Here is a 25,667-nt window from a genome sequence, read left to right on the forward strand (position 1 = left end):
GGGCCTGAGACCCTGTATTTCTAACAGACTTCCAGATGATGTCCTTGCTTCTGTCAGCTGAACCAGGAGAGGAGGCCGTGGTGCAGCCAGCAACCTATCTCTGTAAGCATCCCTGAGAAACTGCCTAAGGAGATCTCAGAAGAAAGGGAATGGCAACTCTAAGTCTGCAGTAAGAGACATGATGTGATTTCTCTTCTCATTCTATGCAGGCTGTCATACCTAATTTCCTTTTGTTTTTCCTCAAAGGACCTTCCTCTCCTCACCAATTTATAGGCTGTGGGTCTCAAGAAACCTGGATCTTCCCTGTCTGAAAGCATTTGAGAGGGCTGGGATTTAGCTCTGAGAGTCTGGGCCCCAAACATTTTGATATGTGTATCAAGAGTTCTGCAACTTTCAGCTTCCATTTCCTGCTCCCTGATCTCAGGCAGCTTTCACAGTTAGATGCTAAGTGAAACAAGAGAGGAAAGAAGAAAACCGAAGAAGGGCAGCTCATAGGTTAGGTCACAGACAGTGTGAAGCCTAGTGTGCAGGCCAGTGAGTCAAGTGTGGAAGGATGTCAGTGTCTAGACAATTTCCATTCATTTGCACAGCAAACCTTTATCGCACATTTATATGTCAGGCATTGTTCTAGGTGGTAGGGTTAAGATATTGAACAAAAGAAACAAAATCCTTGCCTTCAAAGAGTTGACATCTGAGAAATACAAGTAAATTCTAAGCCCCTCAACTGACTGAACGGACCCCCTCTTGGCCAAAGGGACCTCTGAGAAACCTTGAAAACTGAGTTCCCAGCATGATAGGAGGTTGGACATGCCTTATTTTACCCCTTCCCTTGCTAACCATCATTAGGCTTGCTTTCTTAAGAGTTAACCAGAGAGTGGTGGGGTGGAAGGGGAGGGAGAGCATTAGGACATATACCTAATGCATGTGGGGCTTAAAGCCTAGATGATGGCACATGTATATCTCTGTAACAAACCTGTACTTTCTGCACACGTATCCCAGAACTTAAAGTAGAATTAAACAAAAGTGATTTATAGACTACCGTGACAGTATTACAGTATTCTGAATTTGACTATGTATTTACTTTTACTAATAAGATTTATACTTTCATATGTTTTCATGTTGTTACTTCAGCATCTTTTTATTTCCACTCAAAAAAACTCCTTTTAGCATTTCTTATAAGGCAGGTTTAGTGGTGATAAGCTCCCTCAGCCATTTTAAAAATAAATTTTATCATTTATACTTGAGGTTTACAACATACATGTAGATAGTAAAATGGTTACTACAGTGAAGCAAATTAACATGTTTATCCTTTCACATAGTTACACTTTTTGTAACAAGAACAGCTAAAATCTATTTAACAAAAATCACGAATTCAATACAATTTTATTAACTACAGTCCTCAAATTGTTCATTAGACCTCTCGACTTGTTTACTCTGCATATCTGCTACTTTGTATTTTTGATTTACATCTCCCCCTTTCCACTGTTTTATTCTCTATATCTGTGCATTTGACCTTTTTTGTTTTTAGATTCCACATTAAAGTGAGATGCAATTTAAAAAAAAAAAAAGAGTTAACCAGAAACCAGCACTTTCAAAAGACTTGCTCTACCTCCAATTTAAACCACTGACTAGCTTCTCTTCCTGATAAGAGACTACCGATCATGGACTGGTTCTGGCTGGGTTACAGGGACTGTATACAGGATGCCTCTGTGTCCTCTGTTTACACCTTTTGACATATAGGGCTGAATTTTCATGCATTTAAATGTCAAGTCTCTATCTCAAAGTGAACATGGGATGTATATAACATGCATGTTTGCTTACTACACCGTCATGCGCATTCATAGCCCCTCCTATAGTCTGTTAAACATATCTACTTAACCAACCCTTTTGGCATAAAGTCCAAATTCAGTACCCTGCTTTTGGTTTCTGCTCAAGGCTATACTTCCCAGCCTGCAGGCTGCAACCCTTTATAAGGAATAAAGCTGAGTAGGGGGTACAAGATGGGTGGGAGTGTGGAGTTGCAATTAAAATAAGATGGTCAGGGAAGACCTCATTAGGAAGGTGACATTTGAACCAAGCCTTGAACAGGGTGTTAATATGGAATTTTAACTTACTTAATTTTGTTTAATTACATTTTAATTTAGTACAGAAAAATAATTTTGTTGTTTTTCTTTTTTTTCCTTTGCTGTGCTCCCCTGAAGGATGGAGGGCAAAGAATTTCTCTCTCCTCACAGTTTGAGGATTTAAGCTCATGCTGCCCTGGAGGAAAGACGAAGCAGTTTTTCAGTTGCTAATGAATTAGCCATCAAGGTTTACTGTCAAAAGATAAGAGAAGTATCTCAGAGGGAAAGAAAAATAGGGGAAGATTTTCTCTAGAAATAAAGGAGGTCTAAAATCAGGGGAAGAAGGGGAGAGGAAGAGGGAAAGTCTGGGGTGAGGTCTAAGGAACAGTGAAAATATTTCTTGTTGCTGGCTTCTTCCTTCAACTGTCAGGCACTGCAAACTTGGACAACCACATGGGTGACAACCATGTGAATTACAGCCTATAAACTTACGGACAACTGCAATCATGATTGTCAAGAATAACTGGAAAAGCCTTTGATACAGGCTCAAGAGATCACTGGATAGCCTTTCAGTGGAATATTAGGTGCACCTTCTGCGTGGGTTATCTGATTCTATCAGGGTCTGTCCTTTTCATTTTCTTTAATGAGCTCTTTCAAAACTCTTTTGTAGGAAACTGATAATAATGCAAATAAGATTGGTCCAGTTGAGATGCCACTGAGTCCCCCTTGGAAGAAGACAATATTGTATCTGTAGGAAAGGAAAAAATAATTTTCTCTCTACCCTTCATAGTTCTTAGCTGGGACAGACTTCTATAACAAAAGATGGATTAACAAGGGCAAAAGTTTATTAACATGAATGCTTCATATGTACATGGGAGATACCCATAGAAATGAGTAAATCTCAGAGGTTGCTCTGTCTGCGCAGATTTATCAGTACAGTTTCTATTGATATTGCCCAGGTCACAGCTTACTAGAGTAAACTGTCCAGCATTGCACAGCTAGGAAGTGGTACAACTGAATGCCAAAGCCCATGCCCTTGGCCCTGGGCTATTCTGCTGCTAGTACACAGAAAAGTGGGGATTTCTGGGCCTTGGGACTTAGCAAGGCCCAGCACCCTTGGAAATCAAACACCAGCCACTAACAGGAAGAGAAAATGGGAGAAGTCATCTCTCCCACAATTTTCAGGACTTCCAAAGGGAGAGATCGGTCAGTCAATGAAGGACTGGGATGAAGGGGTGAAGGTGCATGCAGGTGGACCATGGTAAAAGGAGAGATTTTCTAAAAGGTAAAGGCATGACTCACACATAAAATGAATGCAGGTCAAAGATTTCGTTTAACTCAATTAATGAAAAAAAAAAAAAATCAGTTAGGTTTAATCAACCAGTCCAAAGGAGAATGAGGGGAAAAAAGGCAGACACCTATATAGGTAGTCAGAAATGCCCAAATGGATTTGCTAATAGGTGTGTAGGAGACCAGGATACGCCACCCCAAAAGATGCCATTTTGGCATAAGGATCATTTTGAGCTGAAGGTAATTGAGAAGAAGCAGGTACAAGAAACCTCTTTGCCCTCCTCCTACTTGCCGAAAAGCAGGATATAAATTTACAAAGGTAAGTTTTTCCTCCTCCCCTCTCTACCAGGAAGGACAAAAACAAGACAATGAAGACAACCTTAGAACCTTATCAGCTAGAAGGCAGCAGAAGCATCTACCTGACAAGCTGTATTATCAGCGTTTGTCTGCTATTTGCCTTCCCACAATTTGCCATCCCTAGAGACTTAGAGTCCTTTTCCTTTGTCTTATCACTCTCTAAAAATGTACTGCTTTTTTTTTTGTGAAAAATGTTACATAATCCTAATTTCAAAGCTTCCTCTGAGATTTAGTCATTCTGTGGGTATCTCCCATATATACATGAAACATACATGTTAATAAACTTTTTCTCTTGTTAATCTGTCTTTTGTTATAGGAGTCTGTCCTAACTAAGAACTATGAAATGTAGAGAGACTATTTTTTTTACGCCCCTACAGATGCGGTACTGTCTACTTCCAAAGGGTACTCAATGGCATCTCCACTGGACCAAACTTATTGGCATTATTATCAGTTTCCTACAACAGAGTTTTGAAAGAGCTCATTAAAGACAATGAAAAGGACAGACCCCAGTCGTACCACTTCCTAGCTGTGCAGTGCTGGACAATTTAGTAAATTGTGATGTGGGCAATATGAATAGAAACTGTGCTGATAAATTTGCGATGATTCGATCAGTGAATGCCTGTAAAATGCTCAGCACCAGGTCTGGAATGTAGTGAGTTCCTGCTTGGTAGTGATTGCTGATATTCCATTTTACTGTCACCGTGCTGGGTATTTTCCATTGTCACAATCTATTCTTGGCCATTCTCCACCCTGCTCTGTGGCCCAGGAGGCACCTTTCCTGTGGCTTCTGGTTGGGTTCTACCAATTCATTCTTTCCCTCTGGAATTGCCTGGGAGTGGCAGCATCCCTCAAAGATCACAGCTCCTCCCGGGAAGCCCATGCCACCTCCAGGTCCCCATAATTGTCCCTTCCTGTCCCTTCAAGGCATCAGGGTGATAATAGCTCTCTGTTACCAGCCCTGCGTTTTTGCAAGTCCACTATGGTGTCCCATACTCTGCCCACCCCTTTGTAGATAGTGCCTTTACTAAACACACCTCAAATTACTCATGCTGAGAGCACCATCTGTGTCCTGGCAGGAACTCGACTGATGCAGTCATCAGCAATTTTTTTTTTTTTTTTTTTTTTTCTGAGATGGAGTCTTGCTCTGTCACCCAGGCTGGAGTGCAGTGGTGTGATCTTGGCTCACTGCAACCTTTGCCTCTTGGGTTCAAGCGATTCTCCTGCCTCAGCCTCCCTAGCGCTAGTCACCAGTATTTTTAATACCCCACTGTGTCCATCTCCGTTCCTTGAGTGATGCTGATGCTGCTCTTGAGTCTTATGAAAACTGAAAGCTGGATCCTTTGCTCCTGTTTTATCTTAGATGTAACTTCTCAGCAACGCTTGCAGCACAGGGAGTGAATGCCACCAAAGTCCCACACCAGAAGGCGGCATTCCTTTTTGTGACTGATCCCAAACACATGTACCAGGAAGAGAAGAGTGAAGAGATGAAGGGTCCATACAAAGATGAGTCTACGTAAACAGACTTTACTAAAAGAATCCTTATTTTCCCTTAGTTCCCCCGTATATGTCCCAGTTACTGCCCCACAATTTATGATCCTCTTTTCTTTGTTAAAAGGGCACACAAGCTCTCAAGTCTAACTGCTTGCGTTTCACTTCTTTTCTGTGAACTCTCATGCACATAAATATGAATAAAAATTGTGTGCGTTTTCTCCTGTCAGTTTGTCTTTTGTGAGTTTAATTCACAGGCCCCCAGTTATCTCACCTAAGAGGGTAGAGGAAAAGTTTTTCCTCTCCAATACCAGTGTCCCTGCTTCATCTCAGAGAAAAGATTATGGGCCCTTACAATGGATCATTTAGAAGAGGTTTAAGCTCTGTACTTTTTTCAGGAAGGAGCATCTTCAAATCTTACAAACCTATTTCTTGCTAATTGCATAACACCCATATGTTATTATGAAAATGTTACCAGGTTATTGAAAAATCTAAATTCAGTAAAGATACAAACAACTGTCTTATTTTCTCTAATTATTGACTTTAACTGTGCTATGTCTACTCTCCGTTAATCAGATTTCAGCCCTAGTTTTCCAGTCATTTTTACGTTTTAAAAGTCCAGTCCGGGCTAGTTTAAAGTTTGAAGATTCAATCTCATACCCCAATTTAACTTCATTTCCCAACCCCCAGAGCACACCTGGTTTTGACCTAAGGCATCTTGAGGAGGAAGGGATGTGGTCTGTTTTTTAGCTCTTCTTCCTCTAGTGCTTTAGGGGTTGAGGAGCAGGCTGGGGAAAAAGGGACAAATGCCTCTTAAGGGGTGTTATTGTTTCTTTTTGAGACTTTCCTGGCTTCTCTGGCAATGGCTTCTACTGGGCTGGCAGCCAACACCTGCCTTCTCATGGGGCAGATAACTAAGTTATATAAAAGGCCCTGGGTGGGGGACCTTCCCTGACCTGAGACAAACATTCTGGCTAGACATATGCGTAATGCCTCCTGGATATATAGAGATGGCTATGGAATCTTTGCTACTCCTATCATAGAGAGGAGGAGTCTCTTTCCCCTCCCATTGAAAGTAGGCTCACCTTAGTGACTTCCTTGGCTGATAGAATGCAACGGAAGGGACAGTCTCAAACTTCTGATGCTAGATCATAAGAAACCTTGCAGCTGCCATCAGGGTTTCTTGGACCTCTGAGCCACCATGTAAGAAGTCTGACTGTCACACTGGGAAGGCAATTGTAGGTGTGCCAATCAATAGTCCTAGCTGAACCCAGCCTTGCAGCCAAGGCACTAGACCAGCCCTTCCACCAGCTGCACACCACCAGAGGCCCTCACCTGATTCCACGTGGAGCAGCAGAATTCTCAGTAGAGCCCTGCCTGAATTCTTGCCCCACAAAATTATGACATATAATAAAATGGCTGGTGTTTTAAGCTGCTAAGCTTTGGGGTGGCTTGTCACACAGCAATAAACTAGAACACCCCCTCCAATTATATCTTTGGTTCTGGAGCTCTTCCTTGGATGCGTCAGTGGCAAGATGGCCCTAATGGGGTCGCATTCTTGGTATCTATGTGACCTACTCTTGCACTTTGGTCTCCCCTCTCTCTTCCCATCTCTTTCCCTTTCTTGTCCCCCTGCCCAATGCCCTAGTGATCCTTTTGAAATTTCCTTTGTTTGGCTTCAGGAATAAAGCACCACCCCTTCCATCCTCCATGGGGAGGGAAGAGAGGTGCAACAACTCTATTCCCTAGGCACCCACCACTTAAGGGACAACTTCAAATACCTCCCTCCTCTAGCCTTCTGCTTGTTTAGGCCAGTGGGAGTGGGGAGGGGGCTGGAGGATGGGCACTGCTGCACAGAGGCATGTCAGTTCGTTTGCTTCTTCATACACCATGGGATGTGTCGGTTTGGGGCTTGACACAAACTTTTGACACTCACAAAGTCCTCAACTTTGACTCTCAGTTGCCAGTTTTGAGGTTAAAGAAATATAGCTTTGGCCAGGCGTGGTGGCTCACACCTGTAATCCCAGCACTTTGGGAGGCTGAGGTGGGCTGATCGCTTGAGGTCAGGAGTTCGAGACAAGTCTGGCCAACAGGGTGAAACCCCATCTCTACTAAAAATACAAAACTTAACTGGGCATGGCAGTACATGCCTGTAGTCCCAGCTACTCTGGAGGCTGAGGCATGCGAATCGCTTGAACTCGGGAGATAGAGGCTGCGGTGAGCCAAGATCGTGCAACTGTACTCCAGACTGGGCAACAGAGCGAGAGCCTGTCTCAAAAAAAAAAAAAAAGAAAAAAAGAAATATAGCTTTTTCTTTTCTACTTTAGGTCAGGCACTGAGCAATGACAAACGAAAGGAGAAAGGCTGACAGGGATCGGGAGACCAGTTATTTCTGATAAAACTGGATGAAAAGATGTATTTAGATCTGGCCAAAGGACTCGCGAAATGTCCCACATTTGGGACATCCCAAAATGTGGTGTATTTACCTAGCCAATCTCAAGCAATATTGGAAAGTCATGGGCCTTTCTTCTTAGGGGCAGGGGTTTCCTGCCAAGATAGCTGCAGTGCTGAGAGTGGACTGGAACACATACTTTAAGTAGTCAGGCTGCTCCCTAAGGGGGACAGATGGGAAGGGGCTGGGCTACCTTGCCTCCTCTGTCCCAAAGTCATCACTCAATTAATTCTTTCTCTTCAGGCAAATAAATGAAGGGGCAGAAAGAAGCCAAGATTCTCCTGATCTAAAAACAAGTGAAGAACAAACAGGGGAATAAGTATTTTCCCCCCAACAGTCAAATCTCAGGAAACAAGTTTGTCCCACTGAATATCCGGTTGCACACGGCTCTATGTCATCATTCTGTTGTGCTGGATATTTTCTATTTCTCATTCTAGACTCAGCTTCTTCCTGGCCCACCTGTGGTGTGCCTAGAAACACTGCAGCTGTGAATGCTGCCCCCAGTGAATGTGGCTTCGTTGCCCTTTGGATTTGGGTTGGGTGTAGCTGAAAGCAGGGGCTGACAGGAGAGAAGGCAAGAGGAGAATGAGGCTGGACCCCCTCTTTACCAGTTCACTTGCTGTGTTCCTCTAGGGAAGCCACAGCCCCTGTCATGCAGCCACCTCCAAGCAGTTACCTTCTCTAGGTCCCTGAAACCACTGACTCCCCAACCCCCATTTGTCTTCATATCTTAGGACGTAGCAGCTCTGGCTTTTGCCTGACTTGGAATTTCTCCCCATCCCTCCCTTGGTTTCTTAAACCCTGCCCTCAGCTCTGTAGAGTACTTTTATTAAACAGTCCACAAGTGCCCTGATTGAGTGAGCCACCTGTTTCCTGTCAGAACCCTGACTCTCCTGTCCCTATTCCTAAGGGCAGGTGGTCCCTGATGGGAGAAAGCCTGTCAAACGCCAGCCTCTTCTCAAAGCCCTCAGTCCAGCCCACAAGCTTTGACTTGAGCATTATTTCATGCTCCCAAAATGGCACTAGGACAAACCCTTTGGTCAAAATGAGAATTAAGAATGCTTTCATAGGAAGATATACTTCTTTAACAGGTACAGAAATGGGTTGCCCCCAGATTTTGAAAAGTGATTGAGAGAAGGAGAGCCATTTTGGTCAGGGGTCTCCAGAGAGATAGAACCAATAGGACATAGAGAGAGAGATGCATGCAAAGAATTTATTAGGGGAACTGGCTCGATTACGGAGCTGAGAGGCCCATGCTTGCAAGCTTGGAGACCCAGGGAAGCTGGTAACTTGGCTCAGCCCAAGTCTGAAGACCTCAGAACCAGGGAGGCAATGGTGTTGCTCTCAGTCTGAGGCCACCGATGTGAGTCCCAAGTTCAGAGTACCTGGAATGCTGATGTTCAAGGGCAGGAGAAGAGCTACCAGGCTTGGCAGAAAGAGGGTGAGGATTCTCTTTTTCATCCTCCTTTTTGTTCCATCTGGATCCACAGCTGATTGGATGGTGTCCACCCACTTTAAGGGCGGATATTCCCCACTAAGTCTACCAACTCACAAGCCAATCTCTGGAAACACCCTCACAGACACATCTGGGGCTGCCCAATCATTCCAGTCAAAAGCAAAGCCACCTGGGTTTCCTTTTCAGCAGAAAAGAGATAGGCTTACTACCTACTGAAGCATGGAGAATAAATAATGCCAGCAATCTGGGTATCCCTTAATCCAGTCAAGTTGACATTCCAAATCAACCATCACAATAGGGTAGTGGTGAAAACCTTGAGCTCTGCAATCAGACAGCTTGAGCCTGAGCTCCATTTTCTGGGTGACCTTACACAAGCCACTTCCCTCTCTCAACCTCGGCTTCTTTATCTGTGCAATAACCGTTTTAACAACAGTTGTGAAGGTGGAGTGACTTAATGCTTGGGTGCATAATAACTGTGCATTAAACATTAGCAACAGGCCAGGCATGACAGCTCATGCCCATAATCCTAGCAGTTTGGGAGACAAAAGCCAGCAGATCGCTTGAGCCCAGGGGTTCAAGACCAGCCTTGACAACATGGTGAAACTCTGTCTCTACAAAAAAAAAAATACAAAAATTAGCCAGGTATTGTGGCATGCACCTGTAGTCCCAGCTACTCAGGAGGCTGAGGTGGGAGGATCCCTTGAGCCCAGGAGGTTGAGGCTGCAGTGAGCCAAGATCACACCACTGCCTTATAGCCTGGGCAATAGAGTGAGACCTTGTCTCAAAAAAAAAAAAAAATACAAAAACATTAGCAAGGACCAGCACATCTAATTATGTGGACACCAGATGCCCAGCCAAGCGGGTGAAGGGAGGTTAAAGTACAGCCCCAGCCCTAATCACCAAGCCAAGGGGTACCATGCACCCTGTATCTGGCATCTGTAAACTATAAATAAATTGTGGATGCATTGGATCAAAATGACCTTCTGAAAGGTGGCCTCTGTAAGTTGATACCAGAAGAGTCAGTTAAGGATTATTCCTTCTATCACCCATGTTTCTCACAGTTCTCTCCTGAGCCCAGCCCTAGTGCGAGAGAAGACAGAAGAATGGCAGTGACAGATGGAGGTGCAACTGCTCTTCAGTGTCTTTTGCATGTGTGCGTTTGAATGGGAAAAGCCATTTGATCATTAGAGTTCCAATTTAGTGGTTTGCGAGAATTGGGCACCCTCAGAAGCCCTGCTGCAAGCATGGGATAGATTCTGCGACCAAGACTGATGGGTGAGCAACTTTAATTACCCAAGAACTGTGTTAATGGCCCTTGGGGTATCTTATTGCTATTCTGACACTTGGGAACACGGCATTTTCCCATTAAAATGCCAATTATCCTTGAGCACTTCTGCAAATCCATCAGCTGGAGGCTGCTGGATTGTCGAGTGATGCAGTCTGATGGTTTGAAGGAAACCATCAGATCAAGGGCATTTTATCTGGCAGTTCATGACTGCTCAGGGTGCTGCACCACCCCTGCCTACTGCCCCCAGCCTCCAAGACACACACACACACAAACACACACACACACACTCCACTAAGCAGAAAGATCAGAATCTCTGGTCCTAGGTAGCTGCTAGAGAAGAGGAAGTGTTAAGAGTTGGGAATAAGGAAGAAAATTGGGATTTGGAAAAGAGCCTCCGAAATGGAATTTTTCTTCATCTGGATAATTGAAAGCACAAGTCCAACAGAAAACATATCTCACCGGGGAAATTAGTTGATTTACCTCATCTAACTACCAGGAGAGAGGGTCTGCTTGCAGAATTCACACTGCCCTGCAGAGCTTCTCTGTTGCAGATTAATTACACCTGAAGGGTTTGCTAATGCTGGATTTGGAGCCTCAATTAGATGTGCTCTTCCAGGACAATGATACCTTGCCCAGGCAGCCTTGGGTTTGGCTTATCCCAGGCTCTTGCTTCTGGAAGAAGTGGTTATACCTCAGTATAACAGTCCTCTTGGGAAAGCGGCTGTAGACCTGCTGGTCCTTAATTTCTTGGGGCTATGTTTAAATCCAATTATAAATCTGAATGATTATATAATAGAAGATCAAGTTTGGTTTGCTTTTTTCTTACTGGATTCTATTTCAGAACAGCAGTATAGTAGTGAGACTAACAGCATAGATTTGTGGAACCAGATGCTGAGTTTCAAACTTCAGCTCTGCCACTGAGCAACCATCTGAACTTGGGTAATTTACATAACCCTCTTTGGGCTTCAGTCTTCTCATCTGTAAAATAGGGATGATAATGGAACCAACCTCCTACAATTGTCAGGATTAAATCTGTTAATAGTTGGAACAGTATTGACCCGTTGTAAATATTCTCATTGGGCAAATATTATTATTTAGCTGTCTAAACAGTATCAAAAAATGTGATTATTAAAAAAATTTTTAAAAAATATTTTTCTACTTAAGAGGTGATGCCATTTTTATAATTGAAGAATAGTTGGCTGTAGCATGCCATGGAAGGGGATGAGTTGATCCACTGGTCTGCAAAGGACTGGTTGTTACGTTCCTGTAGCAGGTGTCCTGTAGCATTGCTCCCAAATGCCTGGTACCAGGCCAGCTTGCCCAGCTGCAGCAGTGCTGGTTTAACAGCCCACACCTGCACCCTCTCTGAAGGCTGGGCATGGCTGGCAGGAGACACAGCTCCTGAGATGCCTGGGAGGTTACACACTCCCTGCAAATTCTTTGACATTCTTCTCACCAAAAGGCAGATTCCCTCTCCTTGAAGGTGGGCCAGTATTAAAGACTTCAGGATTCTAAGGAAGAGGATGAGGTGGAAGTGGCTGCATGCCTTCTGTTGTAGGTTGAATGTGTCTTCTAAAAAGATATGTTCAAGTCTCAACCCCTGATATCTATGGATGTGATCTTACTTGGAAACGTCTTTGCAGATGTAACCAAGTTTTAACGAGGTCATACTGGATTAAGGTGGGCTTTAATCCAGCGACTCATGTTTTTATATGGAGAAGGAGGGGGAAATTTGTCTTTATATGGAGAAAGACAGGGAGACAGGGTTTCATCATGTCGTCCAGGCTGGTCTTGAACTCCTGGGCTCAAGTGATCCACCTGTCTTTGTCTCCCAAAGTTACAGGTCTGAGCTTTCATGTCTGGCCTGTTGCTAATGTTTAATGGACATTTATGACACATCTAAGCATTAACTCACTCCATCTTCACAACTATTGTTAAAACAGTTATTGTTTTACACATAGAGGCATGCACACACACGGGAATGTCACATGAAGATGGAGGCAGAGATTGCAGGGATGCTTCTACAAGACAGAGTGCCAAGGATTGCTGGCAACACCAGAAGCTGGAAGAAGCAAGGAAGGATTCTCCACTGGAGCTTTGAGAGGGAGTGCAGCTCTGCCAACACCTGGATTTCAGACTTCTGGCCTCCAGCACTGTGAGAGACCAAATTTCTGTTGTTTTAAACCACCCAACTTGTGGTCCTTTGTTACAGCAGTCCTAGGAGACTAATGTACCTTCCAAACTAGATTGTAAGCAACAATACGGCTTCGGCCTGCCTCTCTGTCTCTGTCTGTCCCTCAGGACATGTGCCTTGGAGTCTGAGCCGTGATGTAAGAAGCTCAATGACCGGGAAGCCACCACACTGAGGTAGAGATAGAGACCCCTAAGGAGCCCCAGCTGTTTGAGTCTTCTCAGCCCAGCTACAAGACACATGTGTGAAGAAACTTTCAAGACAGCTAAGCCCTAACTGCCATCTGCCTGTACCCTCATGAAAGACCCTGAGTGAGAACAGCCTGGCGCAGCCCAGCTGAGCCACCCTCAAATTTGTGACCCACAGAGACAGTGACAGATAATAAATGATTACTGTTGTTTAAAATTTTACTTTTTATTTTAATTGTGGTAAAATACACATAACAAGGCTGGGCAAAGTGGTTCACATCTGTAATCCTAGCACTTTGGGAGGCCAAGGTAGGCAGATCTCTTGAGCCCAGGAGTTCGAGACCTGCCTGAGCAACATAGCGAGATCCCTGTCTCTACAAGAAAAAAAAACAAAACAAAACAAACAAAACAAAAAAAAAACATTAGCCAGGCGTGGTGGTGTGTGCCTGTAGTCCCAGCTACTTGGGAGGCTGAGACAGGAGAATTACTTCAGCTCAGGAGTTCAAGGCTATAGTGAGCCATGATTCTGCCACTACACTCCAGCCTGGGTGATAGAACAAGACCCTGTCTCCAAAACAAAAACAAAATAAAAAAATCCCACATAATGGGGAATTTATCATTGTAACCATTTTAAAGTGTACAGTCAAGTAGATAGTGTTAATATATTCACATTGTTGTATAACCAATCAGCTTTTTCATCTTGTAAAACTGAGATTTCATAGCCATTAAACAACTCCCCATTCCCACCTCCCTCCAGTCAAGCATCATTCTACTTTTCATCTCCATGAATTTGACCACTCTACGCAGCTCATATAAGTAGACTCATACCATATTTGCCTTCTTGTGACTGGCTTACTTGACTTAGCATAATGCCTTCCAAGTTCATCCATGTTGTAGCATGTCAGAATTTTCTTCCTTTTTAAGGCTAAATAATATTCCATAGTATGTATATACCACATTTTGATTATCCTTTCACCTGGCAATGGACACCTGCATTGCTTTCACCTTCCGGCTGTTGTGAATAATACTGCTATGAACATCTGTGTACAAGAAGATGACTGTTGTTTTAAGTCATTAGTTCTTGCGGTGATGTGTTAAACTACAAGAGATTATTCCAATCATGCCAAGAGGATGTTGTATACCAGCCAAGCCTTCTTGCCTCCGGGCAGGATAACCTCTGCAATTCATGCTTCATGCTCCAGAGCTCCCCAGAGGATCATACTCAGGCCAGTTCCCTCCTGAAACCACCATCTGCCTGCTCGCTCTCCTGCCTGATCCTGCTTCCCTCACTCTGCTGCAGGTTACCCTGAAGCGCCACCTCCATAGACCACCTGCTCAAAAGTCCCCATCTTAGGCTCTGCCTCCAGGACACTAACTTAAGCCAGGCAATGCCACATGGCCAGGTGGTATGAGTTGTCATGAATGATTGCTGGGATGTTACAGTGATCTCACAGCATTGCCCCCAGCGATGTGATGGTTCTTGGTCATTTAAATACTTAGGTGGGTATCAACTCTGTTGAAGTGTTGAGTAGCAATTGTACTAATAGATACACTGAAGCTAAAAATAGGCTTCTCCTGATGATTGCGCTCTTTTGGAGTTAAACTACCTAACTCTGGAAGTGGTATTAACCCAGAGCAAGTCAGGCAAAAGTTCTCCGGCTGCATTGCAGAACATTTTGCATTTTGCAGTGTGTCTCCACATACATTCTCTTTGTGAGTCCTGCAGTGGTTCAGGGAGGTGTGCAAGGAGTAGTCACCTCATTTGACAGTTGACGAAAGGGGTTCAGAAAGCTTACAAGAATTGACCAAATAAACAATAGAGCTTGAACAAGAAGAGGCATGGTGTTTTGATGCCCCTTCTGGGCTCCCTGCATCTACTCTATCCTCCTCCAATCCACTCCCCATAAAGCAGCCACAGCAATACCTCAAAAACGCAAACCAGACTGTGTCCCTCTTCTTGTGACCTCATGATGGTGTCTTGTTGCACTTGGAATAAAACACAAATTGCTCCTCACAATTGAGGAGGCCCAGCCTCACGTTAGGCAGCTTTCCCCAGGGGCTGGCCCATGAGGCTCTAGCCACGCTGACCTTAAGAGGACAGCAAACAAACACACAGCAAAAGACACACATCAAACTCTTCAGGGTCTCCTGATGTCACCTCTGCCCCAAAACACTCTTCTCTGGCTCTTCAAATTGCTGCCTTCCCCATAGCTTAAATACTGTCTCCTGGTTTTAAAATACACCCGTAAATCTTTGACCCTGCTCTCTTCAAAAGGTGGAGCCTAATTGTCCTCCCCTTGCATGTGTTCTGAACTCAATGACCCACTTGTAATGAATAGAATACTGGAGAAGTGACAATAGGCGACTTCCAAGACTAGGCTATGAAAGGCATTGCCGTCTTCTCCTCATTCTCTTTCTGGGCCATTCACTCCGGGAGCAGCCAGCTGTCACTGTCGTGTCATGAGGACAGTCAAGCAGCCCTAATGAGGGCCAACGTGGTGAGGGACTGGGCCTCTTGCCAACAGCCGAGGAGGAACTGAGGCCTTTAAGAGCCACTGGAGTGAGTGTCATGATGTGATGGGTTTGCAGTGTGTCAGCTTAACTAGGCTGAACTACAGAATCCCCTTATTTGTATGTTTCCAGTTAGGGTTGGCCATGAGGGAGAGTCTCAGTGACTTGGAGTAGGGGGTAGTGGTACTGGGGGCAACAGCAATTTTGTATTGCAAATACATTGTTACTCACCTGCTGACTCACCTTGTTGATGTGATGCAGGAGCTGGGCCAGGTGTGTGTGTTCAGATCTGGAACAAATGCCCAACCTCTGTAGGATGCCCTCACCACAAAGAACATGAGTTTCAGTCTATCCTTGTGGAGCTCTAGCTTGTGCTGGTGGGGTTTCCATTTGCTTGTGGCCTTTCCTTCCTGATTGCTTGCTCTGTGGATTTCAAGGTCTAGCATCAGATGTAGGGAGAGCTTTATACCTGGAAAGAGACTTATAACCATCCCCCCAACTCTGTGATCTATATCGTTGCTACTGGTTCTGCTTGTCTGAGAGAACCCTGTTTGATATAATGAATCACCTTGGAAACAGATCCACTAGCCCCAGTCGAGCCTTTGGATGACTGCAGCTCCAGCCAGGCAACATCTTGACTACAATCTAGTGGGAAACCCCAAGCTGGGACTACGCAGATGAGCCTCTCAAAAATCCCTGACCCACAGAAACTGGGAGATAGTAAAGGTCTATTATTTTAAGCACTACATTTTTGGGGTAGTTTGTTATCCAACAATAGATAAGCTAATGCACCCACTCCTAGACGCCCTGTGGGACCATGCTCCTATGTCCCTTGCTTTATTTTCTATTATAGCACACTGCTGATTCTTTTCAGAACACTTATCACAACCTACAATCAGTTAGTAGATTTATATGCTTATTTGTTTCATATCTGGCCTTCCCACAAAAATGTCAACCCCCTGAGGGTAAACGTCTTCTCTGTCTTGTCCTCCTATAGGTCCAGCACCTGACTAGTCTAACTCCACTTCTCAGTAGCCATGAGGCCTTGGGAAACTTGCTTTCTGTGACTCAGTTTCTTCAGCCTTTGGGATGATGACAACAGTCCCTACCTCATCGGATTGTTGTGAGTGTAACATAAATTAACACTTATAAAGTGCTTCAAATATTACTTGCCCATGGTAAATATCCAGGACATATAAGTTGCTAGTATTTTTAATATTACAGTAGAAACTCAATAAACACCTACCGAGAGACTAAATGAAGGAATTAATTGATCTCTTTGTCCTATAATCTTAAGTATCCAAGACACAACTGAGAAAATCCCAGAGGCACCTAGACAGCTAAAACGGATGTCCCACAGGCTAGCAGCAAAGCCCATCTAATTAACTTATAGGCAAGCTCTTGGGCCATTACTCAGAACTTAATTACTTAATAGTCTTAGCAGATATTTATTAGTCACCTAACACATGGAAAGCATTGTGCTGGGTGCTGGGGGAAGGGGACAGAGAGACACGAAGGTGAATTGAGCTCATTACCTTTCCTCAAAAGAGCATGCTCTCTAGAGGGAAGATACAAGAGCCACCAATCACACAATTACAAAAGTGTGAGCAAGGTGGGTGGAGGTGGGATAGAGCGATGTTGACTATCAAGGTGGCCGGGCTCAATTAGTCACAATTATAACGTGCATAACAAGCTTAATTGTCTGGTTTCCTAGTCCATAATGGATTAGAAACAGCATATTAGAAGAGAAAAAAGAAGGAGTTATTGCTAGCAGCAGGTATGATGACAATGGCAAAAAGTGACAACCAACACGAATAAAGAATCAAAATTGTTAACTACATGGAAAGCAGAAATTAGATAACTGAAGCACAGTAGTTTAAAGTCATTTAGCGTGGAAGCACCTGCTACATAAAACTCAAGAGGCAGTACAGCATTGTAGTTAAGATATGGCTCTGAAGCCAGACTGCCTGGGTTTAAATACCAGCACCATCACTTACTGTCACTTCAATGAGCAACTTAACCTCTCTGTTCCTCAGTTTTCTCATCTATACAGTGAGGAAGGATGATAGTAGCATCTACTTCATAAAGTTGTAAGAATTAAATGAGTTAACACTGTTAAGTACTTAAGAGTTCCTGGCACATAGCAATTCTGAGAGCCTGTATTTGTCAGGACTGGCTGGGTTTGCTGCAGTAACAAACAGTCCCCGACATCTCAGTGACTTAACATAATGAAGGTTTATTTTTCACCTATACACATGTTCATCATTGAGAGGCAGGAGGTTCTACTCTGAATTATCACTGTCTTCCCTCTAGGACCCATACTCATGGAGCAGCCATTGTTACAACGTCTCCAGCTGTGGCCAGGAAAAAAGAGCACCTTTGTGGATTGTTCATTGACAATTCATTGTTCATTGCAGAAGGGGCGTGCTCTCTGGCTCACAGCTCATTGCCCATTGCTGGACACATTGCTCCTACCCTTCCGTGTGTCCAGAATGGGGATGATCAGAATGTTTGCCTAGCAGCACAAATCACGACCAGAGGGCCTCTGTGTACCAAGATATCACACAGTCATGGTTACGCCACAGAGTTTAAAAACTGTAGTGGCCCAAAGAGCTAAGGCTACTCCTTTGGGAAAGTGAAATGAAGCTCCCTGGGATTCTGTGTTTCTTAGTATGAACACTATTGGCATTGGTGGGTTGAGTGAGGGAGGGATGTGAGGTGAGAACAATTCATTTGTGGGGCTGTTGCATACAGTGGAGGACATTAAGTGCCCCTGGCTCCTATGTACTAAATGTCAGTAGTGGCCCTCCTCCAAGTCACTGTGACAATCAACAATGCCCTCATCTATTTCCTAATACTCCCTTGAGATAGAACTTCCCTCATCCTTGCCTAAGAACCACTCACAAATGTTTAATTTTGCAGTGTTGGTCTGAGCCAGAGCTGGTGCCCAAACACCGCTTCCTGCCTCACAGATGACTGATTAGGACTCTGAATTGTGACTATTATGGTTTGTTAATCAAGAATCAGAGGCTGGGCTAGGTGCGGTGGCTCACGCCTGTAATCCCAGCACTTTGGGAGGCCAAGGAGGTTGGATCACTTGAGGTCAGGAGTTCAAGACCAGCCTGGCCAACATGTTTAAACCCTGTCTCTACTAAAAATACAAAAATTAGCTGGGTGTGGTGGTGGGCTCCTGTAATTCCAGCTACTCGGGAGGCTGAGGCAGGAGAATCACTTGAACCCAGGAGGCGGAGGTTGCAGTGAGCCAAGATTTTGCCAGTGTACTCCAGCCTGGGTGACAGAGACTCCATCTTAAAAAAAAAAAAAAAAAGAATCAGAGACCAGGTGCAGTGGCTTATGCCTGTAATCCCAGCACTTTGGGAGGCTTAGGTTTGACTCCCAGCTCTAGCACCTGCTACCAGCTGTGTGACCTAGGGACATAACAACCTTTCTGAGCTCCTGTTCCTATACCTGGAATATGGAAGTTGATGGAATCTAACTCATAGAGTTCTTAAAAAGGGGAAAATGAGGGCTGGGTGTGGTGGCTCTTGCCTGTAATCTAGCACTTTGGGAGGCTGTGGCGGAAGGATCGCTTGAGCCCAGGTGTTTGAGACCAGCCTGGGCAACATGGCAAAACCCTGTGTCTGCAAAATATACAAAAATTAGCTGGCATGGTGGCACACACAGGTACTTGGGAGGCTGAGTTGGGAGGAACACTTGAGCCTGAGAGGTCAAGGCTGCAATGAGCTGTGATTGTGCCACTGCACTCCAGCCAGGGTGACAGTGCAGTCCCCAAGAGTACTGTTGGACCAGCGAGTGTGTGATGATTTTCCTGCTTCTTAGAAGCCTTGGTCACTTTTTGTTCTTGGATTCCATGAGACACCCCTCTGTCTGCTCCATAAACCCCATTTTACCTATGCTAGTCTGAGTAGGTTTTTTGTCACTCATAACCAAATTATTTCTGACTTGGGCACATACCTCCTAGCAACATTTCTTTCAAATATAATTAAAAATTTTAAATGTGTTGCTTACAAGGATAAGCTCCATTTAGCCGAAAAATTTACTTTTGTGGAACCTTTCCTTTTACACTCAGTCAATCAATGAACTATTGATGTGTGGCTATGCAGAAATCAGCTACCATGGACAGAGGAGAGTGATGTGTATTCTGATAAGGAACATTCTGGAGATAGCCTCAGGAGGGTTTCAAGAGGGGGCAGGGCTGAGGGTCAGCTGTGGGATTAATCTGTCCTTGTCCCATACCCAAATAAGCACGTGAAACAAACCCCAGGTAGGGTAAGCATCTCCCTATGATGTGACAGGATGACCGACCTGCTTAACAACTTTTTGTTCCGTTAATGGATAGCAGTTCTTTCAAGCTCCAGAGAAAAACTGACATGATTCATAAAACAGAAAAATAAGATGATATTAAACCTAATACAAGCATTCAAACCAAATTTACAAGACATTTTTAAAGTCAAAGATTTCGTTAAAGCATTATGATAATCTAGTATAAGGATGAGGTCTCCTTCAAAGGTTTATTTTATGCCTGTGAATGATCAGCAATTATCCAAACATCTCTCTTCTATCCCTGGGGCATCTCAGCTCACTCAATTTGGATTTCACAGGAAGGAGACGGAGTCACTGCATGCTCTGTGGCTAATCCTTACAGCACTTTCTATATGTGTGTGCTGCTCGGGAGGCAAAGGTGACGAAAATTGAAACTTGAAAGAGCTCATTGTGATTCTTTGTGCCAAGAAGTTGCATTCAATTCAGTGAGCACCATTTCAGGTAAAAGAAAACACTTAAAAGAGATTGGTAATAATGATAACAAGAACAACACATAAAATAGAGTGTGTGTTTATTCAGAGTCAGGCACCGAAGCTAGCATATTCTGTGACTTGTTTCAAAATGTTTGTGCTTGTAAAATTCCGATGTATGCTCATTTGCATTGTACAGATGAATGAACCCAGGGCACAGAGATTGCCGTCCTTGCCCTGGATCCTGTGGCTGGTAGGGGACTGGACCAGGGTGTCCTGTATGCTGTTATGTTGTTCTGTGTCTATTAAGTGTAATGGGTTAGACAACAGGCTGTGAAGCTGGTCTACCAGGGTTGAGATTCAGGCTCCAGCAGTTACTCACTGAGTGATCTTGCGTTAGATAACTTCAACTCTTGGTGCCTGGGTTTCCTTTTCTGAAAATGGTACTAAATCAGCTAATAGGATAAAGAGCCTAGAAAAGTGTCTGGTTGCAAAGTAAATGCTTGGAAAAAAAAAGGCTTTAATTATTACTCAGAGTCCAGTATTTCCTATGGAAATAAGTCTCAAACTAGTGTATCAGGCACCTCTCCTGCATATTGGACTCACCACTGTGTGGTCTGATCACTGTTAAAGATAAACTATTCCGACACTCATGAAAGGCGAGAAGGAACACCTTATTCAGGTGACTGCTACGATGGGGTTTTGCAGTAGGGGAGAGAGATTGGGTTCAACCCTGTCTACCTAAAGAAAGAAACGGAGGTAAAATTAATACAGTTGAGTTTATCTGGGACAAGTTTGAGGACTACAGTCTGGAAAATGCTGGGAAATGCTCTGGAGAATAAAGGAGAGGCTAGTGTTTTTAAAGAAAAAAGGGCGAATTCAAAGAGGGAGAGATTACAAAGGTTGTTCCTCAGGAATTCTCACTGGTTTGCAGAAATAACATTGATGAGTAATTGACACTATATTGTTGAACTGTAGGGTGTGGGTCATGGTGTCCAGTGTGAGGCATTGTTAGGTTAATTTATAGCTTCTTGGTGAGGACACTCAGTCTAGAGTCCAGGTAGCAGGCAGATTACTTAGCTCAAGGAGGGCAGGTGATCTGAGCCTTCTGTCACATTTCAATGCCTCTCTGGGCCGGGTTTTTTAATGGACTGGCATTCCTCAGATAAAAAGTTCCTTTTCTTTCTCAGCTCTGAAAATGCAACAAGGAAGGGTGGGGATTTATAGCCAGCGAGAAGTTGGTGGGTGGAAAATCTCTGAGGGTAAGGTAATTCTTCATTAAACTGACATAATGGGATTCTTGCTGAAGGCAGGCCAGAGTGATCAGACATCATCTGATATGGTGCCAGATGAGGAGGGTGATTGGATATGGAGAGTGAGGAATTCTGGCCAAATTGACTTTGTAGGTGTATTAGTCAGTGTTCTCTAGAGGGACAGAACTAATGGAATATATATATATATATATATATATATATATATATATATATATATGCCCCCTTTGTATATATAAAATATATGTATGTGTGTGTGTGTGTGTGTGTGTGTGTATATATATATATATATATATATATATATATATATATATATATATATAAAGGGAAGTTTATTCAGTATTAACTCACACAATCACAAGGTCCCAAAACAGGTCATCTGCAGGCTGAGGAGCAAGGAGAGCCAGTCCAAGTTCCAAAACTGAAGAACTTGGAGTCTGATGTTCAAGGGCAGGAAGCATCCAGCACAGGAGAAAGATGTAGGCTGGAAGGCTAGGCCAGTCTCTCTTTTCTTTTCTTTTGTTTTTTTTTTTTTTGAGATGGAGTCTCGCTCTTTTGCCCAGGCTGGAGTGCAGTGGCACGATCTCAGCTCACTGCAAGCTCTGCCTCCCGGGTTCACACCATTCTCCTGCCTCAGCCTCCTGAGTAACTGGGACTACAGGCGTCTGCCACCGCGCCTGGCAAATTTTTTGTATTTCTAGTAGAGACGGGGTTTCACCATGGTCTGGATCTCCTGACCTCGTGATCCACCCCACTTGGCCTCCCAAAGTGTTGGGATTACAGGCGTGAGCCACCGCGCCCGGCCGGCCAGTCTCTCCTTTCATATTTTCCTGCCTGCTTTTTATTCTAGTTGAGCTGGCAGCTGATTAGATTGTGCCCACCCAGATTTAGGGTAGGTCTGCCTTTCCCAGCCCATTGACTCAAATGTTAATCTCCTTTGGCAACACCCTTACAGACACATTCAGGATTAATACTTTGTATCCTTCAATCCAATCAAGTTGACACTCAGTATTAACCATCCCAAGTCCACCACTTGTCAACTTGAACCCACACACCTATCCTGAGATCATACATAATCTTCAAATAAAGACAATAATAAGGTCATAATTACGCCTAACATAATACAAGCGGAAACTCACCAATCCCCAACCCAAATAGTTAAATGCTGATGTGAAGTCAATAAATCTTGTCACATGATAAAGGAGAAAAGAAATAAAATGAAGATATTTTCTTAGTACAAGTGTACACATGCACAAACATGTTTTTAACAAAAGAAGGAGGAAATACGCATGACAATTACAGTCCTTGTTTCTGCAGCTGGTCACGTGGTCGTAGCTGGTATTGATGACTACCTTCTTTTACTACCCATTCTGTATTCCCTTTTCCTTCAGCAAGCACCCCAGAAGATCGTGGTTTTTTTCCTGACGGAGTGACCCAAACCTTCATTCCTGAAAGGTCTGGGTTATTTGTAGTCCTGCCTGGATTGGGCTGTTGTAGCTTCCCATTGACCTTAGTCACAGGGCATGGTGATACTAAGAGATGCCCTAATGGATCTCCTGTATTCCATGCATACTCTTCCTTACCTCCGTTGTGGAGTAGTAGACTGATTTCATCTTGATAGTCTGGGTCGATCACCCCAGCCAACATTGTAACTCCCTTCTTAGCCTGTTGACTTAAAGGTAGGAGGAGCCCAAAGTGTCCAGGTGGCACTCTTAACTTCCAGTTTAATGGGATTGTTGTTGTGTCGCCTTGTGGTAGCATTCCTCCCTTTGGAACTAAGACCTCTAGGCCAATAGAACATAATGTCGTGGAAACAGGAAGCAAAAATTTTTCTAGTGGATCACTAGGGGTGATGGTGAGTGGTGCCACTTCCACTTCCACCCCTTGATTCCTGGACCAGTGAATCCTGGCTATGGGAGAAACAGTGCCATATATTGGACGTTGATTCAGAGCATACATGGCCTTCTGGAGAACTTTGCTTCAGCCCTGCAACGTATTGTCACCTAGTTGGTGTTGTAATTGTAACTCCAAAAAGCCATTCCACCAGTCTGTCAATCCAGCTACTTCAGGATGATGGGGAACATGGTAAGACCAATGAATTCCATGAGCATGATCCCACTGCTGCACTTCTTCCCTGTAAAGTGAGTGCCTTGGTCAGAGGCAATGCTGTGTGGAATTACCATGATGGTGGATAAGGCATTCCACGAGTCCACAGATGGTAGTCTTGGCAGAAGCATTGCATGCAGGATAGGCAAACCCATAACAGAGTAAGTGTCTATTCCAGTGAGGACAAACCTCTGCACTTTACGTGATTTGAAGAGGTCCAATATAATCAATCTGCCACCAGGTAGCTGGCTGATCACCCCGAGGAATGGTGCCATATCGAGGGCTCAGTGTTGGTCTCTACTGCTGGCAAATTGGGCACTCAGCAGTGGCTGTAGCCAGGTCAGCCTTGATGAGTGGAAGTCCATGTTGCTGAGCCCATCCCTACCACCATGGCCACTTTGTTCATGGGCCCATTGAGTGATAACAGGGGTGGCTGGGAAAAGAGGCTGAGTGGTGTCCACAGAACGGGTCATACTATCCACTTGATTATTAAAATCCTTCTCTGCTGAGGTCATCTGTTGGTGAGCACTCACACGAGATACAAATGTCTTCACAGTTTTTGACCACTCAGAGAGGTCCATACCTCTTCCCCAGATTTCTTTGTCACAAATTTTCCAATCATGCTTCTTCCAAGTCCCTGACCATCCAGCCAAACCATTGGCTATACAGCCCATGAAATCAGTATATAATCACACATCAGACCATTTCTCCTTCCATGCAAAGTGCACAACCAGGTGCACTGCTCGAAGTTCTGCCCACTCGGAAGATTTCCCTTCACTGCCGTCCTTCAGGGATGTCCTAGAAAGGGGCTGTAGTGCTACAGCTGTCCACTTTCGGGTGGTGCCTGCATATTATGCAGAACCATCTGTGAACCAGGCCCTAGTCTTCTCTTCCTCTGTCAGCTGATCAGAGGGAACTCCCCACGAGGCCATCAGGGCAGGCTGGGGGTGAGAAGGCAGGGTGGCAGGAGTGGAGACCATGGGCATTTGAGCCACTTCCTAATGTAACTTACTTGTGCCTTCAGGACCTGCTCAAGCCTGATCACGTATATGCCACTTTCATCTGATGATGGAATGCTGCTGTGCGTGACTCACTTTATGGCTAGATGTGTCAGAAAGCACCCAGTTCGTGATAGGCAGTTCAGGTTGCATGGTGACTTGATGACTCATAGTCAAATGTTCAGTTTCTACCAAAGCCCAGTAATAGGCCAAGAGCTGTCTCTCAAAAGGAGAGTAGTTATCTGCAGAAGATGACAGGGCTTAGATCCAAAATCCTAGAAGCCTCCATTGCAATTCACCTATGGAGGCCTGCCAAAGGCTACAAACGGCATCCCTACCTGCCACTGACACCTCAAGCACCATTGGATCTGCTGGGTCATATGGCCCAAATGGCAGAGCAGCTTGCACAGCTGCCTGGACCTATTGCAGAACCTTCTCCTGTTCTGGACCTCACTCAAAACTGGTAGCCTTTTGGGTCACTCAATAAATGGGCCGGAGAAACACAGTAGGATTCTCGATAAAATTGGGCTCTTGGCCAGCCATGGCACTTTGTAATTCCTGTATTACCGGCACCTTTGGAGGCTGAGGTGGGTAGATCACTTGAGGTCCATAGTTTGAAACCAGCCTGGCCAACACAGCGAAACCCCGTCTCTACTAAAAAAATACAAAAAATTAGCTGGGCATGGTGGCGCATTGCCTGTAATCAGCTACTGAGGAGGTTGAGGCAGGAGAATCGCTTAAACCCAGGAGGCAGAGGTTGCAGTGAGCCAAGTTCACACCACTGCACTCCAGCCTGGGTGACAGAGAAAGACCCTGTCTCAAAAAAGAGAAAGAGCTCTTGAGGACATGCCCAAAGATGGGGCCTTGTTGACGAAGAGCTCAAAGGAGCCTGGCTAGAGTTTGGTCAAGGAGAGAGTTTTTGACACCACCTGCTTGAGCACGACCCAACAGCTCTTGCCCCATGCCTGACTTTGCCTCCTATGCTGAGGACTCTCTTCTTCTCTCCTGCCCTAAGGCATCTCTGTTGCTGCTGAGACACCAGGTGGCCTAGACCCCAACATGTGTGACCTGGAAGTGAGCAGGGTGGTTAACACTTTGATCAGTGAGGGACAGAAGCTGGTCAAATGATAAATTGGGAGAACTTATTGGAAAGGATAAACTCTGATACTGTCCTCCCAATGAGCGCACACTGTCCTAAGATGTGTGTACAACCTGTCGGAGGACAGTGACAAATTGGAGCAATCGATCGCTTTC

The 25,667-nt window shown here is 44.5% G+C and overlaps 5 annotated features.

Moving 5' to 3' along the window:
* Positions 15,816-15,998: a silencer, noted in NCBI's record as "fragment chr3:72023234-72023416 (GRCh37/hg19 assembly coordinates)". NCBI's record gives its function as "represses an EF-1alpha promoter that drives an FKBP-Casp9 reporter gene in an ReSE screen in K562 erythroleukemia cells {active_cell/tissue: K562}" and the evidence as "EXISTENCE:reporter gene assay evidence [ECO:0000049][PMID:32094911]".
* Positions 20,511-21,185: an enhancer, noted in NCBI's record as "H3K27ac hESC enhancer chr3:72027929-72028603 (GRCh37/hg19 assembly coordinates)". NCBI's record gives its function as "activates a minimal SCP1, AML or CMV promoter by ChIP-STARR-seq in naive H9 embryonic stem cells {active_cell/tissue: H9 hESC(naive)}" and the evidence as "EXISTENCE:reporter gene assay evidence [ECO:0000049][PMID:30033119]".
* Positions 23,816-25,015: an enhancer, noted in NCBI's record as "P300/CBP strongly-dependent group 1 enhancer chr3:72031234-72032433 (GRCh37/hg19 assembly coordinates)". NCBI's record gives its function as "activates an origin of replication core promoter dependent on BRD2, BRD4, P300/CBP, MED14 and CDK7 cofactors, with strong dependence on P300/CBP, by STARR-seq in HCT116 cells {active_cell/tissue: HCT116}" and the evidence as "EXISTENCE:reporter gene assay evidence [ECO:0000049][PMID:35650434]".
* Positions 24,055-24,144: an enhancer, noted in NCBI's record as "active region_20065". NCBI's record gives its function as "activates an Ori minimal core promoter by ATAC-STARR-seq in GM12878 lymphoblastoid cells {active_cell/tissue: GM12878}" and the evidence as "EXISTENCE:reporter gene assay evidence [ECO:0000049][PMID:35858748]".
* Positions 24,385-24,734: an enhancer, noted in NCBI's record as "active region_20066". NCBI's record gives its function as "activates an Ori minimal core promoter by ATAC-STARR-seq in GM12878 lymphoblastoid cells {active_cell/tissue: GM12878}" and the evidence as "EXISTENCE:reporter gene assay evidence [ECO:0000049][PMID:35858748]".

This window comes from Homo sapiens, chromosome 3 (assembly GCF_000001405.40).
Source record: "Homo sapiens chromosome 3, GRCh38.p14 Primary Assembly".
NCBI lineage: Eukaryota > Metazoa > Chordata > Mammalia > Primates > Hominidae > Homo > Homo sapiens.